We start from the raw sequence: 16,290 nt of genomic DNA on the forward strand, positions 1-16,290 counted from the left end.
CCTGGGCTGAAGCAATCCTCCTGCCTCGACCTCCCAAAGCACTGGGATTACAGCCATAAGCCACCACATCTGGCCCCATTTTTCTTTACGATCTTTCAAGGACTTAGTTTGCACATAGGAAGCAGAAAGGAATTGTAAATTCAGTTCCATCAGCATCTACTTGGGGCTTACACACAAGTATTAATTAATTCTCACAACAGTTCCAACAATAGTGGGATCATTTTTACCTCCATGTTACAGATGTGGAAACTGAGGATTGCAAACTTGAAGCACCTCGTCCAAGGTCATTCAGTAAATACCTTGCAGAGAGGAGGCTGGGCCAGGCCTAAATCCAGAATCAGCCCTCCTGGCCCTGCCCTGATGTTCCCAAGACACAGCAGATAGAGTTCTGACATACATGGAGGAGGGAGGCAGCCCAGAGGGCGAGCTGGGTCCCTTCAGGAAGGGAGGAAAAGCAGCATCCAGACTGATCCATGAAACAGGTACTCACAGAACAGCCATCATGTGCCAACATGTCTTTGGGCAGTCACTCAGACACAGTGGCCGACCTGAATGTGCTGATATTTTGACGAGAACAATACAACACAAATGAATACCTACACAAGGGAGAGCAGTTTAGGCGGTGAGTGCTGCGAGAAAGGAAAAAGTAGGGGAGTGACAAAGACTGGTCCGGAGTATATAAAGAGCTCTGACAACTCAACAATAAAAAGACAATCCAAGTTGAAAACAAGCCAAAGACTTATTGGCTGATAAGCACATGAAAAGGGGTTCAGCATCATTAATCGTCAGAGGCAGGGTCACACACCCACTAGTCTCATGGGCTAGGATACTGGTTCTCAACCAGGGGCAATTTGCCGGCCCCCCCCTCCCCAAACAAGGGACATTTGGCAATCTCTGGACAGACATTTCTGGTTGTTACAAATAGGTGGGGCACGGTAGGCTAAAATTGCCCCCCTAGGCTGGGCACGGTGGCTCACATCTGTAACCCCAGCACTTTGTGAGGCTGTGGTGGGCAGATTACCTGGGCTCAGGAGTTCAAGAACACCCTGAGCAACAGGGTGAAACCCCGTCTCTATGAAAAATACAAAAAAATTAGCTGGGTGTGGTGGCACGCGCTTGTAGTCCCAGCTACTTGGGAGGCTGAGGCAGGAGAATTGCTTGAACCCAGGAGGCGGAGGTTGCAGTGAGCCAAGATCGTGCCACTGCACTCCAGCCTGGGTGACAGAGAGAGACTCTGTCTAAAAAAGAAAAAAACAAAAAGCCCCTCCGCAAAAGATATCTGTGTCATAATCCTTGGAAACTGTGAATGTTACCTTCTATGACCAAAAAAGGGGGCTTTCCAGAAGTGGTGAGTTTAAGGGTATTGAGATGCAAAGATTATCCTAGATTATCCTGGTGGCCCTAAATGCAATCACATGTATGAGAGAGAGGCAGAAGGACATTAGACACACACAGACGAGAATGTCATGTGAAGACAGAACACAGGTTTGAAGATGCTGGCCTTCAGGACAGGAATGATGTGGCCACAAAATTAAGGAATTTGGCAGCCACCAGAAACTGGAAGAGGCAAAGATCAGTTTGTCCCCTAGAGCCTCCAATGAGTGTGTGTCCTCCTCGCCTGATTTCAGCCCAGTGAAACGGATTTCGGCCTTCTAGCCTCCAGGACTGCGAGAGAATAACTTTCTATTATTTTAAGCCATGAAGTTGGGGGCAATTTGTCACGGCAGCATCAATTAATTCACGGCACCACTGGCATCAAGTAAGTGGAGACCAGGGATGCTGCTCATCATCCTAGAATGTACAGGACAGCCCCGCACAACAGAGAATCATTTGGTCCAAAATGTCGACAGTGCCAAGGTCGAGAGAACATGGGCTAGGGTGATGAAATTTTGGAGTCTAATTTCACCAAGTTGTGGCTGAACTTAAGAGGCTGACATTTAAAAGACTGATCTTGCCAAACGTTGGCAACTGGAACTCTTATACACTCCTAGCGGGACTGTAAAATGGTATAGCCATGTCGGAAAACAGTTCCTCTTTTTTTTTTTTTTGAGATGGAGTTTCACTCGTTGCCCAGGCTGGAGTGCAATGGCACGATCTCGGCTCACCGCAACCTCCGCCTCCTGAGTTCAAGCGATTCTCCTGCGTCAGCCTCCCGAGTAGCTGGGATTACAGGCATGTGCCACCACGCCGGGCTAATTTTGTATTTTTAGTAGAGACAGGGTTTACTCCATGTTGTTCAGGCTGGTCTCGAACTCCCGACCTCAGGTGATCCGCCTGCCTCAGCCTCCCAAAGTGCTGGGATTACAGGGGTGAGCCACCGCGCCCGGCCTTCCTCTTTCTTAAAAAGTTAAGCATACTGCTATGGGGTACATGTCCCCCCCAAAACTCGTGTTGAAATTTAATGGCCATGTGATGGTGTTAAGGGGTGGGACTGGTAAGAGGCGATTAATATTAATATTGTTATCATGAAAGTTTGGCCCCCGCTCGCTCTCTCACGCCCTCTTGCCCTTCTGCCTTCCGCCATAGGATGATGCCGTACAAAGGTCCTCACCAGCTGCCAGCGCCTTGACATTGAACTTCCTTTCTTTATAAACCACCCAGCCTGCGGTACTCTGTTACAGCAACAGAAAGTGGGACTAAGACACATAACACTTCCCTGTTATCTAGCAATTCCATATATGAAAGCATATGTTCACAGAAAGACTTGTGCGAGAACGTTCATAGCAGCTTTATTCAGTCGCCCCAACTGGCAGCGGACCAGGGCATAAGCAACCTGCGGCGTCTCCATGCAATGGAAGGCTGCCAAGCAATACGAAGCCATGAGCTACTCACTTCACACAGCTTGGGTGGATCTCAAAACAATTCCACGGAGCGAAAGCCGCCAGACACAAAGCACTGCGTGCCGTGCGATTCCACTTACGTGAAGTTCAAAAGGAGATGAAGCTAGAGTGACAGAAACCGGAACAGTGGCCAATTATGGGAGACGGGCATTCACTGGAAGAGGGTATGAGGGTACTTTCTGGGGTGGTGGCAAAGCTCTTTATTGGGATTTTAGCTGCCCAGGTGTAAACCTTTGTCAAAACTCGTTAAACTGTATGCCTAAACTTAAATGCAATTTCACTGCATAAAATTTACCTCAAAAAGGCCAGGCGCGGTGGCTCACTCCTGTAATCCCAGCACTTTGGGAGGCCGAGGCAGGTGGATCGCCTGAGGACAGGAGTTCGAGACCAGCCTGACCAACATGGAGAAACCCCATCTCTACTAAAATTACAAAATTAGCCAGGCGTGGTGGTGCCTGCCTGTAATCCCAGCTACTCGGGAGGCTGACGCAGGAGAATCGCTTGAACTCAGGAGGCGGAGGTTGCAGTGAGCCGAGATTGCGCCATTGCACTCCGGTCTGGGCAACAAGAGCAAAACTCCATCTAAAAAAAACAAAAAAACAAAAACTTTACTTCAAAAAACCCCGCTTCCAAAAGAATAAAAGAAGAGGCCATTTGAACGTGGTAGCCTGGGAAGTCCCTTTGAGGAGAGGACATCAGAGCAGAGCCTAAAGGACAAGCTGAGTGTGGGAGTTTCCTCTGGCTGCCATCACAAAGCGTTACAAACTTTGAGTGGCTTTCCCAGCAGAGATGGCCTCTCTCCTGGCTGGGGGTCCAGCAGTCCGAGAGGAAGGCCCAGGCTGGGCGGGCTCCTGCCGAGGACCGAGAAGGCGCCTCCACTCGGGGCCTCTGTCCCAGCTTCTGCTCTGCTGCCCACCTGCGGGCTTCCTTGGCTTCTGCCACGGCAGGTCGGCCTCAGCCTCTGTCTCCACACGGCGCTCTCCCTCTGGGTGTGTCCGTGTCTCCGTCTCCCCTTTCTGTCAGGACACAGGTCACACTGCATTAGGGCCCACCCCTCTGCAGAATGACCTCATCCAGATCTAACTCATCACGTCCGCAACGACCCTGTTTCCAAATAAGCCGGTTCCTTGTCACCAAGTGGAGCCTTCAATGAGTTGATGCCAAGGCAGGTCTAGGGAACTAGAAATGGGGCAAGAAGCAATGTCCTCCAGCCAGGTGTGGTGGCTCACACCTGTAACTCCAGCACTTTGGGAGGCCGAGGTGGGTGGATCGCTTCAGGTCAGGAGTTCGAGACCCCTGGTCAACATGGCGAAACCCCATCTCTACTGAAAAATACAAAAAGTAGCCAGGCATGCTGGCGTGTGCCTGTAATCCCAGCTACTCGGGAGGCTGAGGCAGGAGAATCGCTTGAACCGGGGAGGTGGAGGTTGCAGTGGGCCGAGATCGTGCCACTGCACTCCAGCCTGGGGGACAGAGTGAGACTCCATCTCATAAAAAAGACAAAAAAAAGAAGCAATGTGCTCCTCACAGTCGGGTTTTCTCCCAGGACCATTTTACTCATCCAACAAAGAACAAAGATGTCCCAGCAACCCATCTACCCCAGGCATTGACCACTCGGGCTACAAAGGTGAAGGAGGAGGGTGGGGCTGGGCAGGCTGGGACTGGCTATGGACCCCAGAGAGTAAAGATGGTTTTGCTGGCACCATACCCCCAACTCCAGGACTTGTCCATGCCCTGTCTACGGGGCCAAGACTGAAACCTGACTGCCTTTCACCATCAAGCAGAAGTCAGCTGCGCATCCTGTAAGAGATGGGGAAGGACCCCCAAGACCCTCCCAGAGCCCCCTGGCTCATTAGGAGGCTAGAGGGGGCCTCCTGCAACTCTGCATGCAAGGTGCCCAGATGAGACCTGGCCAGTCGAGACTTTTACTTGAAGGCTCCCCATGCCTTCCTTGGGTGCCATCTCTTCTACCAATGAACGTTTTCTGAGTTTCTCAAGCCTTCTTTCCTCCTGACCCACGAAGAAACTGAGGGACCGGGGCCTTCTGGTCCCCCAGGAGACTGGCTTGTGCTGAGGAGGTCGGCCGCTCACTGTGCATCTTCTCGGAGATCTGAAGCTCCTCCTATTTCCACAAGAAAGAAAGGGAAGCTTGGCAAAGACCCTTCCATCCAGAATCATCAAGTTCGCGACGCCCGTGCTTCTCCTCAGCACACAGAGAGGAGAGTTACCAGGGGCCTCAAGCAACTCCAGCGGAAGCAGTCACAGTCCTTCCAGGACCCAGGAACGTCCTCTGCAAGGACCTACAAACCCAGACCTCATGAAGGAGGAGACCCCAGGGCCAGCCCCAAGCCTCCTGAGTCTAATTGTTGCTGTGATAGAGACCCTGCACTTCGCAGAATCAAAAAGAATATATTGTGGGTTTTTTGTTTTTACCACAATCAATTAAAAAATGCATTAAAAAGTAAGAACTGTCCAGGCACAGTGGCTCACATCTGTAACCCCAGTACTTGGGGAGGCCGTGGCCAGGTGTTCAAGACCAGCCTGGGCAACATAGCAAGATCCCATCTCTACAAATAATAATAATTTTTAAAAAGTTAGCCAGGCATGGTGGCACATGCTTTGTACTCCCAGCTACTCGGGAGGCTGAGGCAGGAAGATCGCTTGAGCCCAGGAGTTCAAGGCTGTAGTGAACTATGACTGCATGCAGCCTGGGCAACAGAGACCCTGAAGAAAAAGAAAGAAAGAAAGAGAGATAGAGAGAGAGAGAGAGAGACAGAGAGAAAGGAAGAAAGAGAAAGAGAGAAAGAAAAAGAAAGAAAGAGAGAGAGAGAGATGGAAAGAAAGAGAGAAAAAGAAAAAGAAGAAAGAAAGAAAGAAAGAAAGAAAGAACTTTTGCCTATCCAAAGACTCAGGAAAAATAAAAAAGAAAGCCAGCCCTCATAATGAGATACCACTTCACAGTTACATCTGTTGGAAAAAAAAAAAAAGGATAACAACAAATGTTGGCAAGGATGTGAGGCAACTGGAAGCCTTCTGCATTGCTGGTGGGAAGATGGAGCTGCGCGGCTGCTGTGGGAAGACTCCTCTAAACGCTACACCTGGAGTCACCACGGGGTCCAGCAATTCTACTCCTGATTATAGACCCCAAAGAATTGAAAACTGGTGTTCAAACAACTGGCATGTATCTGAGTGTTCAGCGCAGGGCTTCTCACAATAGCCAAAAGGTGGAAACAACTCAAATCTCCATCCGCTGATGGACAGATAAACAAAATGTGGTCTACCCATGCACTGGAATATTAGTCAGCCGTCAAGAGAATGAAGTACTGATACGTGCTACAACATTAGTGAACCTTGAAAACAGTGAAAGGAGCTAGACACAAAAGCCCACATATCGTATGGTCCCATTTATATGAAAAGTCCAGAAGAGGCAAACCCACGGAGACAGAAAGCAGATTAGGGAACGCCTGGAGCCGAGGCTAGGAGTGACCGTGTAGTGAGTCTGGAGGTCTCCTTCTGGGGTGATGAGAATGTTAGACAACCGGACAGAGGTGATGGTTGAACCACACTGCAGATGTACTTAATGCACTGAATTACATGCTTCCAAATGGTTAATTTCACATTACGTGAAATTATGTGAATTCTACATCAATTTTTTTAAGTAAGCCCTTGTCATAAATGCGTTTAATACAGTTGCTGCCTCAGCATCCAACTTTAGCAGTTGTACCCTGTCACCTTTGCCCTAGATAACACCCCTCCCTCCCTGTCATGTGATTGTTTGCGACATAGCCCACGTGGTCCTCGCCTCACTGACCCAAAACCCAACACATCCCACGGCTGCTGACCACGATAAGACCTAATGCTCAACACCAGAGTCATGTAAATCAGTTTCCTCCTCGTGCATGTTTTCTTTAAACCAGCCAATCCACAACCCCCGCAGGAAAGCCTGTGGGATCACTTCACACCCTGTGACCTTAATACAGGCACAGCCCCGGAAGCTTCCCCGCCCTTCCGTTCTGGGCTTCGCTGTTGCACAGCTGATGAGCTCAATCAGCTCCCTGCTGCCTCCAGACTTCCCCTCTGCCTCCCATCAGCACACCTAACATCTCTTCGATCTGAGTCATACATTTCTTTTTTTTTTTTTTTTTTTTTTTTTTGACACAGGGTCTTGCTCTGTCACCCAGAATGGAGTGCAGTGGTGCAATCATGACTCACTGCAGCCTCAACCTCCCGGGCTCAAGGGATCCCCGCTCCCGCTCAGCCTCCTGAGTAGCTGTGACTACAGGCACGCGCCATCACGCCCAGCTAATTTTTTGATGTTTTTGTAGATACCGGGTCTCACTATGTTGCCCAGGCTGGTCTCAAACTCCTGAGCTCAAGCAGTCTGCCCACCTCAACCTCCCAAAGTGCTAGGATTACAGGCGTGAGCCCCCACGCCCAGCCCATTTCTGCTGTTTCATGCATTTTCGTCTGCCTCCTCACTGTGGCTCCCCTGACACACACATCCGAACCTAACTTTCCCACGGGTCAGGGATCTCCTAGAAACTGGGTATCTCGGCTATGGCCACTCTCAGTAGAGACATGCCGAGACCAAATTAAAAAGAAACCATAATGATAAAAACCACAACAGCCCTCCTGAAAGCAAACGGATTTAACTGTGATAAACAGCACAGGACTTGCAGTATGGATTCTCAGTTTGTGATGCACCAGAGGGGACGCAACAGTCACAGGGAGCCTGGCTGGTTGAAACACTTCTGTGTCCAGATCATGTAAAAGTTTTGAAGAAGATTTTACGGAAGTATATGTTTTTAAAATGCCATGAACTCCTGTGTCCCCTGCATCTAACTTAGCCACACAGCCAGGGTGTGGTGAAATGCTCTCAGGTCCGCACTTAGCAGCCACGTAGCCTGCTTGTGCCTCTGTGAGACTCTGCTTCCCCAACCATAAAGTAGGCGTCTGAGGGCCAAAGAACAAGGCTGCTTAACCTGGTGCCCCAGCTCAGTTACGAGCCCGTGACAACAGTGAAAAATCATCAGCAGCCCTTTCTCCTCCTGTAGACCTGCTTGGGCCCTGTAGACCTGCTTTTCTGCTCACGATGAACATTAGTAAGGGTAGGCTCGCTGCTGCAGCAAACAACCAGACATCCCATGTCACAGTCCAATGGGGGGTACCGGGTCAGAAGTGCAGGCTTCTAGAATTTGCAGCAAAAGTCTGAGAGGGGGAGAGACAGAGGTATTGCCCTGCTCCCCGGTAGTCACCGCTGTATCAAGAGGGGGCGAAAGACTCGGATTTGACAGGGGTTAAGAGTTTACCTGAGCACAGCATTCTCATTGGCCCCTGTGGCTTGGAAACATACGGGGAAGTTTGTAACTGCCACCAAGTTCTGCTGTTGCTTAATAGAAAGCTGACCGGGTAAGTGTGATTTTCACAAAAGGGTCTTTGATGCTCCCAAGATTTTAGATTTGGTTGCCATGTCCTATGAAAATAATCTGCAAGAGACGCCTGTGACTCTGACTAGTCATCTCATTGACAGTGGTTGCCCTGTAATATTCTTTGATTGTCCTTTAACAGATTCTTAGGCCATGTAAACGCTGGCAAGATTTCCCTGGGGAAACTAAAGAGGATGATTCCCACACGCCGCTTCCCCTGCATCAGGCACTAAAAGGACTGCGGAGTTCTTCTTTTCATGCAAATGCTGAGAATCTTGGCTCACCTAAGGGAATCGCTGCCTCCCTAGCCAGGACGCTGGAGGGACTGGCGTTAATTAGCCACAGACTGCAGCGAGGGGGACAGAATGTGGCACCCCCTGAGGGCCCATGGAAACCCAGAGAACGGTCCCAATAGGAATGGAGAGAATCCGTTGAGAGATTGGGTTTGCCTTTTTTTTTTTTTTTTTTTTTTTCCTCCAATTGGTAGGCCCTAGCCTTATCTTAGAGGGAAAGAAAATCGAGCTAGGGCAGGGTGAGGTGGCTCACACCAGTAATCCCGGCACTCTGGGAGGCTGAGGCAGGCGGATCACGAGGTCAATAGATTGAGACCATCCTGGTCAACATGGTGAAACCCCGCCTGTACTAAAAATACAAAAAATAGCCGGATGTGCTGGTGCACGCCTGTATTCCCAGCTACTCGGGAGGCTGAGGCAGGAGAATCGCTTGAACCCGGGAGGTGGAGGTTGCAGTGGGCCGAGATCGTGCCACTGCACTCCAGTCTGGCGACAGAGTGAGACTCCATCTCAAAAGAAAAAAAAGAAAAAGAAAATCGAGCTACTGCACGGTGCGGAGAAAGCATTCACCAGAAGGCAGTCATTTTTGAAATAAGTATCTGAGACCCGGCCTGTGCCCCAGCTCAGCTAGGAGCACATGTGAAGAGACCAGAGCTGGCGAGGCGACTCCGGTCCTGACTCCCACCTTCCCAGCCGACTGGGACCAAAGGACGCCACCTCCCTAACTAGTGCCAGGTGTCTACCGGACTCTTGCCACCCCCATGTTGTCCCCTGCCACCACAGGGTCAGGGCCAGCCGCTATGCCGCTGCAACCACCCGGCAGGGGCTGCCAAGCTGGAGCATTTTCGCTAGCAAGGGTCAAGGCAGGTGTGGGACTGCAGGGAGAGGGCTGGCTCGCCCCACTGCAGGGCCCAGTCGCTAAAAGAAGCATGGACCTGCTCTTCCAACTGGCCCCTCACCCTGGCTCTCCAGGCTCCTGTCCTGGCTCCCTTTCACCCTCCCATAGGTGGCTCCTGGGAGCGGTTCCTCCTCTGCTTCCAGTCCCCAGAGCCAAGGCCTCACCTACACTTCTCCTCCTGAAGGGACTCCAGCAACAGCTGCAGGTCAGTCAGAGACCTCTCCTTTAGGCTGTGATAGGACTCCTGGAGGCTGATGTGGAACCTCTTGGCTTCTTCCAGCTCTGCCTTTACCTTCTGCAACAGCAGGTTTTGTTGCTGGGCCACATCCTCTGTCTCTAAGCACGTCCCCTGCTGTAAGCTCTGGAAGCGACTCTCCAAGATGAAGGGCCTGCTGGCATGAGGCAGGTTGACCGGCCCGTCTTCCCCACCTGGCTCGGGGGGCTCTGAAAGCAGGGCCTTCTCACTGGGTGGCTCGCAGTTGGCTGGGTCGCTTTCTGCCATCAGCAGTAAGCCCTCGGGCCTGCAGCCTTCCTCCAGCTCCTGGAGCTGCTGGTGACACTGGTGGAGCCTGTGCTCGATCTGGGCGATGGTGGCAGAGGCGCGCTGGTTCACCTTCTCAAAGGCCTGCTGGATGTGCGGCACCTGGTGCCGGTCTGCTTTGGATACCAGCTTGAGGTAGCTCACAGTGTTGCCATCCCGACTGGCCTTCTCCACTCTCAGCTGCTCTGAGAGGTAGAGGATGCGGTGCCTGACACTATCCTGTAAGTTGTGGGCTAGGCCTCCATCTGCGAGGCTGGAAGGGCCACTGGGGCCGTCTTCGCTGGATGACAGGGACCGGCATGAAGGCACATTGGAGGGGAGGGTTGCGCTGGGGCTCCTGGTGTGTTCCGCCTACGTTGGGAAACAAGAAATCACAATACGGTGCTCTGTGAGCCGCAAAGTGTGGGAGAATTGGACACGTTATGACTCCATAAAACACTTCCACATATGCATGGATACTTACACACGCAAGATTTGTGCATTCAAGATGGGCCCGACACAGACTGAGGAGGTGATGCTCATCTTCAGGGCCCCTCTCCCCTCCTTTTCAGCGTCTGACTCCTTGCTCTACATGTGTGCCTCACTAAGACCCACAGGTGGCCAGACTCCCTTCTACATCTGCCTGTTTTTGCACTGCACTCCTATTTTCTCTTCCAAAAATTACCAATTGTGGGTCTCATTTATAAAGAACTGTTCTTGTAAAGTATGGAATAAGCTTATTTCCGTCAACTCTTACAGCTTGCTGTATTGCTACTCCCAGGGAGACAGGAAGGGTTAGGCAGAGAGATTTGCCTCCTAACAGGTTCATTCATTCATCCAATCATTCATTCAACACATACTTTCTCTGAGTGCCTACCACGTGGTACAGAAGCCAGATACATTCCTTGATCTCATACAGCTGACAGTCTACGGCAGAAAATTCTACTGTAACACAAAAGAATGAGTCTCTCACATGGTGAGGGGATTAACATTGCCTTTGACGAAGAGCCCAGTTCAAATCCTGGCTCTACCACTCTGAGACCTTGAGCAAGTTAATAAACTGCTCTGAGGCTCAGTTTTCTTACCTCTAAAATAAAGATGGCAAGAGCAGCATAGCTGGAACCCAGCCCACCAGAGCAAGGAGCTAGGAGAGGGAGGTGGGGGGCAGCTCAGGTGCAGCCTCTGTTCCGTTTCTACTTTTTTGTTTTTTGAGACGGAGTCTCACTCTGTCACCCAGGCTGGAGTGCAGTGGTGCAATCTCGGCTCACTACAACCTTCGCCTCCCGGGTTTAAGCAATTCTCATGGCTCAGCCTCCCGAGTAGCTGGGATTACAGGTGTGCATCACCACACCCAGCTAATTCGTGTATTATTAGTAGAGACAGGGTTTCACCATGTTGACCAGGCTGGTTTCCAACTCCTGACCTCAAGTGATCCTCCCGCCTCGGCCTCCCAAAGAGTGCTGGGATTACCGGTGTGAGCCACTGCATCTGGCCTATACCTCAATTTTTAAAATGCAAAGTGATACCACTATGTACCCAGTAGATTGGTCAAACTCAGACAGACTAACAACAATAAGAGTTGGCAAGGATATAGCGCAACAGGAACTCTCAATCATTACTGGCGGGAAGCAAATTTGTACTACAGCCACCTTAGAAAACCACTTGACAGTATCACAAAGTTGAAGATATACCTACCAAATGATCCAGCAACTGCATTCATAGGCGATATTCCCAGGAGGCAAGTACACTGATGTTCTCAATATCCAACAACTAGCAACAAACCACCTGCCCAGAAAGTGTAAGTAAACTGTAATATATGCAACAACATACTACTGTACAGCAATGAGAATGAACTACAGCCTTGAAAAACATGAATGCATTTCACAAGCATAATGTTGAACAAAAGAAACCAGACAGAAAATCCATACTATATATGGTTCCATTTACATAAATTCCAAGAGCAGGCAAAACTAAACAATATTGTGTAGGGATGACTACACAGGCAGGAAAGCTAAAGAGCAGCATGGATGTTGGCAACAGAAACCCCAGGATGGTGGTTCCCACTAGAGCGGGAGAAGGGGATTATGACTGGGGTGACTGTGGAGGCTGGGGTGCCTGGCCTGAGTAGTGGTTAAATGTGTGTTCACCTTATCGTTACTTCTTAAAACATACATCAATGTTTTCTGCACCTTTATATACATATGCCAGATTTCACAGTTTTCAAACTATTTAAATGTTCAATATAGGCCAGGTGTGGTGGCTCATGCCTGTAATCCCAGCACTTTGGGAGGCCGAGGCGGGCGGAGGTCAGGAGGTCAAGACCAGTCTGGCCAACATGGTGAAACCCCGTCTATACAAAATACAAAAAAAAAAAAAAAAATGCCTGGCACAGTGGTTCACACCTGTACTTCCAGCACTTTGGGAGGCCGAGGCGGGCGGATCACCTGAGGTCGGGAGTTCAAGACCAGCCTGACCAACACAGAGAAACCCCATCTCTACTAGAAATACAAAATTAGCCAGGCGTGGTGGCACACGCCTGTAGTCCCAGCTACTCGGGAGGCTGAGGCAGGAGAACCGCTTGAACCCGGGGTGCAGAAGTTGCAGTGAGCTGAGATCGTGCCACTGCACTCCAGCCTGGGTGGTAGAGTGAGACTCCGTCTCAAAAAATAAATAAATAATAAATAATAATATGTTCAATTGATGGATTTAATGGCAGATTTGATATGGCTGGAGAGACTGTTGGTAAATTGTACAGAGGAGCTAAAGAAAGTATCCAGGCCGGGCGCGGTGGCTCACACGCCTGTAATCCCAGCATTTTGGGAGGCCAAGGCGGGTGGATCACCTGACGTCAGGAGTTTGAGGCTAACCTGACCAACATGGTGAAACCCTGTCTCTACTAAAAAATACAAAAAATTAACTGGGCATGGTGGTGGGCACCTGTAATCCCAGCTACTTGGGAGGCTGAGGCAGGAGAATGGCTTGAACCCAGGAGGCAGAGGTTGCAGTGAGCCGAGATCACGCCACTGCACTCCAACCTGGGCAACAAGAGCAAAACTCCATCCCAAGAAAGAAAGAGAGAGAGAGAGAGAGAGAGAGAGAGAGAAAGAGAAAAGAAAGAAAGAAAAAAAAGTATCCAGAATGCAGCACAGAGGCACAAAAAAATAGAAAACTTGAAAAATAGAAGACATGGAAGGTAGCATGAGTAGGTCTAACAAAAATCCAATTGTCACACCAGAGAGAGAAGACAGACAGAATGAAGCAGCAGCAATATATACATATTTTTCTTCTTTTTTTTTTAAATTGAAATGGAGTCACACTCTGTTGCCTAGGCGGAGTGCCGTGGCACAATCTCGGCTCACGGCCGACCTCTGCTGCCCGGGTTCAAGCACTTCTCGTGCCTCAGCCTCCCGAGTAGCTGGGACTACAGGCGCGTGCCATCACAGCTAGCTAATTCTTTTGTATTTTTAGTAGAGATGGGGTTTCATCATGTTGGCAAGACTGTTCTCGAACTCTCAACATCAGGTGACCCACCCACCTCGGCCTCCCAAAGTGCTGGGATTACAGGCATGAGCCACTACGACCGGCCACAGCAGCAACATTTTAAGAGATAACTCCCTAAGAACTTTCCAGAACTGAAGAAAGACACAAATTCACAAATTCAAGAAGCCCAATAAATCCTAAGCAGGGAAGACAGAAATAGGTCCACACCTAGACACGAGATTTTTTTTTTTTTTTTTTTTTTTTGAAACAGTGTTTCGCTCTTGTCGCCCAGGCTGGAGTACAGTGGCGTGATCTCGGCTCACTGCAACCTCTGCCTCCCGGGTTCAAGCGATTCTCCTGCGTCAGCCTCCCAAGTAGCTGGTACTACAGGCGCCCGCCACCATGCCCAGCTAATTTTTGTATTTTTAGTAGAGACAGTGTTTCACCATGTTGGCCAGGCTGGTCTGGAACTCCTGACCTCAAATGATCCGCCCACCTGGGCCTCCCAAAGTGCTGGGATTACAAGCATGAGCCACCGCCCGCGGCCGACACAAGATGTTAAAAGCAGCCAGAGGAAAAAAAGCTGATTACCTTTAAAACCATGACTTTTAGACTGCAGGCTGCCTTCTCAATAGCATCAATGCAATCCAGAAGATAGTTGACTGATATCTTCGATACACTGAGAGAATAACTGTCAGAGAGAAAAAAATAGGTCACATTCAAAGAATCAGAAGTCAGAATGGCTTCAGACTTCAGCAACAGCATGGGGAACTAGAAGACAATGAAGTGCTGGCCGGGCACGGTGGCTCACACCTGTAATCTCAGCACTCTGGGAAGCCCAGGCAGGCGGATCACTTGAAGTCAAGAGTTTGAGACCAGGCTGGCCAACATGAGGAAACTCTGTCTCTACTAAAAATACAAAAATTAGCCAGCATTGTGGTGGGCGCCTGTAATCCCAGCTACTCGGGAGGCTGAGGCAAGAGAATCGCTTGAACCCAAGAGGTTGCAGTGAGCCGAGGATCACTCCCCTGTACTCCAGCCTGGGCGACAGAGCAAGACTCTGTCCCAAAAAAAAAAAAAAAAAAAAAAAAAAAGACAATGAAGTGCTGCTTTCGAAATTCTGAGGGAAAAATGATTTCCCAGCCTAAAATTCTACACCCCAACTGTCAACTGTGGGGTTAGACTAAAGACATTTTTAGACATGAAGGAGTTCAGTACACCACTGACAAATGTAAGAATTCAACAACTGTTTAAAAAGCAAGTCTTGCCAGGGCAGTGGTGTGCACCTGTGGTCCCAGCTACTCAGGATGCTGAGGCAGGAGGATTACTTGTGCCCAGCAAGTAGAGGCTGCAGTGACCTGTGACTGTGCTACTGCCCTCCAACCTGGGTGACAGAGTGAGACCTTGTCTCAAAAAAAAAAGAGCGGGGGGTGGGGGGGCCGGGCGTGGTGGCTCACAGCTGTAATCCCAGCACTTTGGGAAGCCAAGGCGGGTGGATCACTTGAGGTCAGGAGTTTGAGACCATCATGGTCAACACTGCGAAACACTGTCCCTACTAAAAATACAAAAATTAGCCGGGCATGGTGGCACACACCTGTAATCCCAGCTACTGGGGAGGCTGAGGCAGGAGAATTGCTTGAGCCGGGGAGACGGAGGTTGCAGTGAGCCGAGACTGCGCCACTGCACTCCAGCCTGACTGACAAGAGTGAGATTGTCTCAAAAAAAAAAAAAAAAGTAATCACTAGAAAAGAAGCTACATATGTACATAACATCCAAATAACCAAGAGGAGAAAAAAATGGGACTTGATTAATCAAAACAAAAACAAAAAAGAAAGAAAGAAAGGGGGAGAAAAAAAAAAAAACAAGGGCTGGGTGTGCTGGCTCATGCCTGTAATCCCAGCACTTTGGAAGCCAAGGTGGGTGGATCTCTTGAGCCCAGGAGGTCAAGACCAGCCTGGGCAACATGGCGAAACCCCGTCTCTATTAAAAAAAAATTAATACAACAATTATCCTGGAGTGGTGGTGCACACCTGTAGTCCCAGCTACCCAGGACGCTGAGACGGGAGGATCGCTTGATCCCGGGGATGTCGAGGCTGCCGTGATCGCACCACTGCCCTCCAGCCAGGGTGGCAGACTGAGACCCCATCTCAAAAAATAAATAAATAAAAGCAAACAAGAAAAAAAAAGGCTTGAAACATATCTGATAGATAAAGGGCTAATCAACACAATATATAAAGAACTGCAAATCAGTAAACTAAGAGCAAATAACCCAATATAAAGACATTAAAGGGTAGCCACGGACATCTCAGACGACTAAAAACAAAAGACAGTAACGTATAATAAAACATGTAATTGCAAGGTGATCCGGGAATAGTAAGCGAAAAGCAACAATTAAATACTATTTTCTCATCCACCAGAACGCCAAAAATTAAAAAGCCTAACAATGTCCAGGGCTGGCGAGAATGTGGCAGAAGGTGATGTCACATACCCTGCAAGTGGGAATCTAAACAGATTCAGGGTTTTGTTTTTTTTTAATCGCAATTAGGTGGCCTGTTAAATTTTTTTTCTTGAGACAGAGTTTTGCTCTTGTTGCCCAGGCTGGAGTGCAATGGCTCGATCTTGGCTCACCGCAACCTCGACCTCCCAGGTACAAGCGATTCTCCTGTCTCAGCCTCCCAAGTAGCTGGGAGTACAGGTATTTGCCACTAAGCCCAGCTAATTGTTTTTTATTTAGTAGAAACGGGGTTTCACCATGTTAGTCAGGCTGGTCGGGAACTCCTGACCTCAGGAGATCTACCCGCCTTGGCCTCCCAAAGTGCTGGGATTACAGGCG

General features: G+C 49.5%; 1 pseudogene; it reads right to left on the reverse strand.

Moving 5' to 3' along the window:
• Positions 1 to 14,157, reverse strand: part of TEX28P1 (TEX28 pseudogene 1) — a 20,975-nt pseudogene extending 6,818 nt beyond the window's left edge.

The sequence above is a fragment of the Homo sapiens genome, chromosome X (genome assembly GCF_000001405.40).
Source record: "Homo sapiens chromosome X, GRCh38.p14 Primary Assembly".
NCBI lineage: Eukaryota > Metazoa > Chordata > Mammalia > Primates > Hominidae > Homo > Homo sapiens.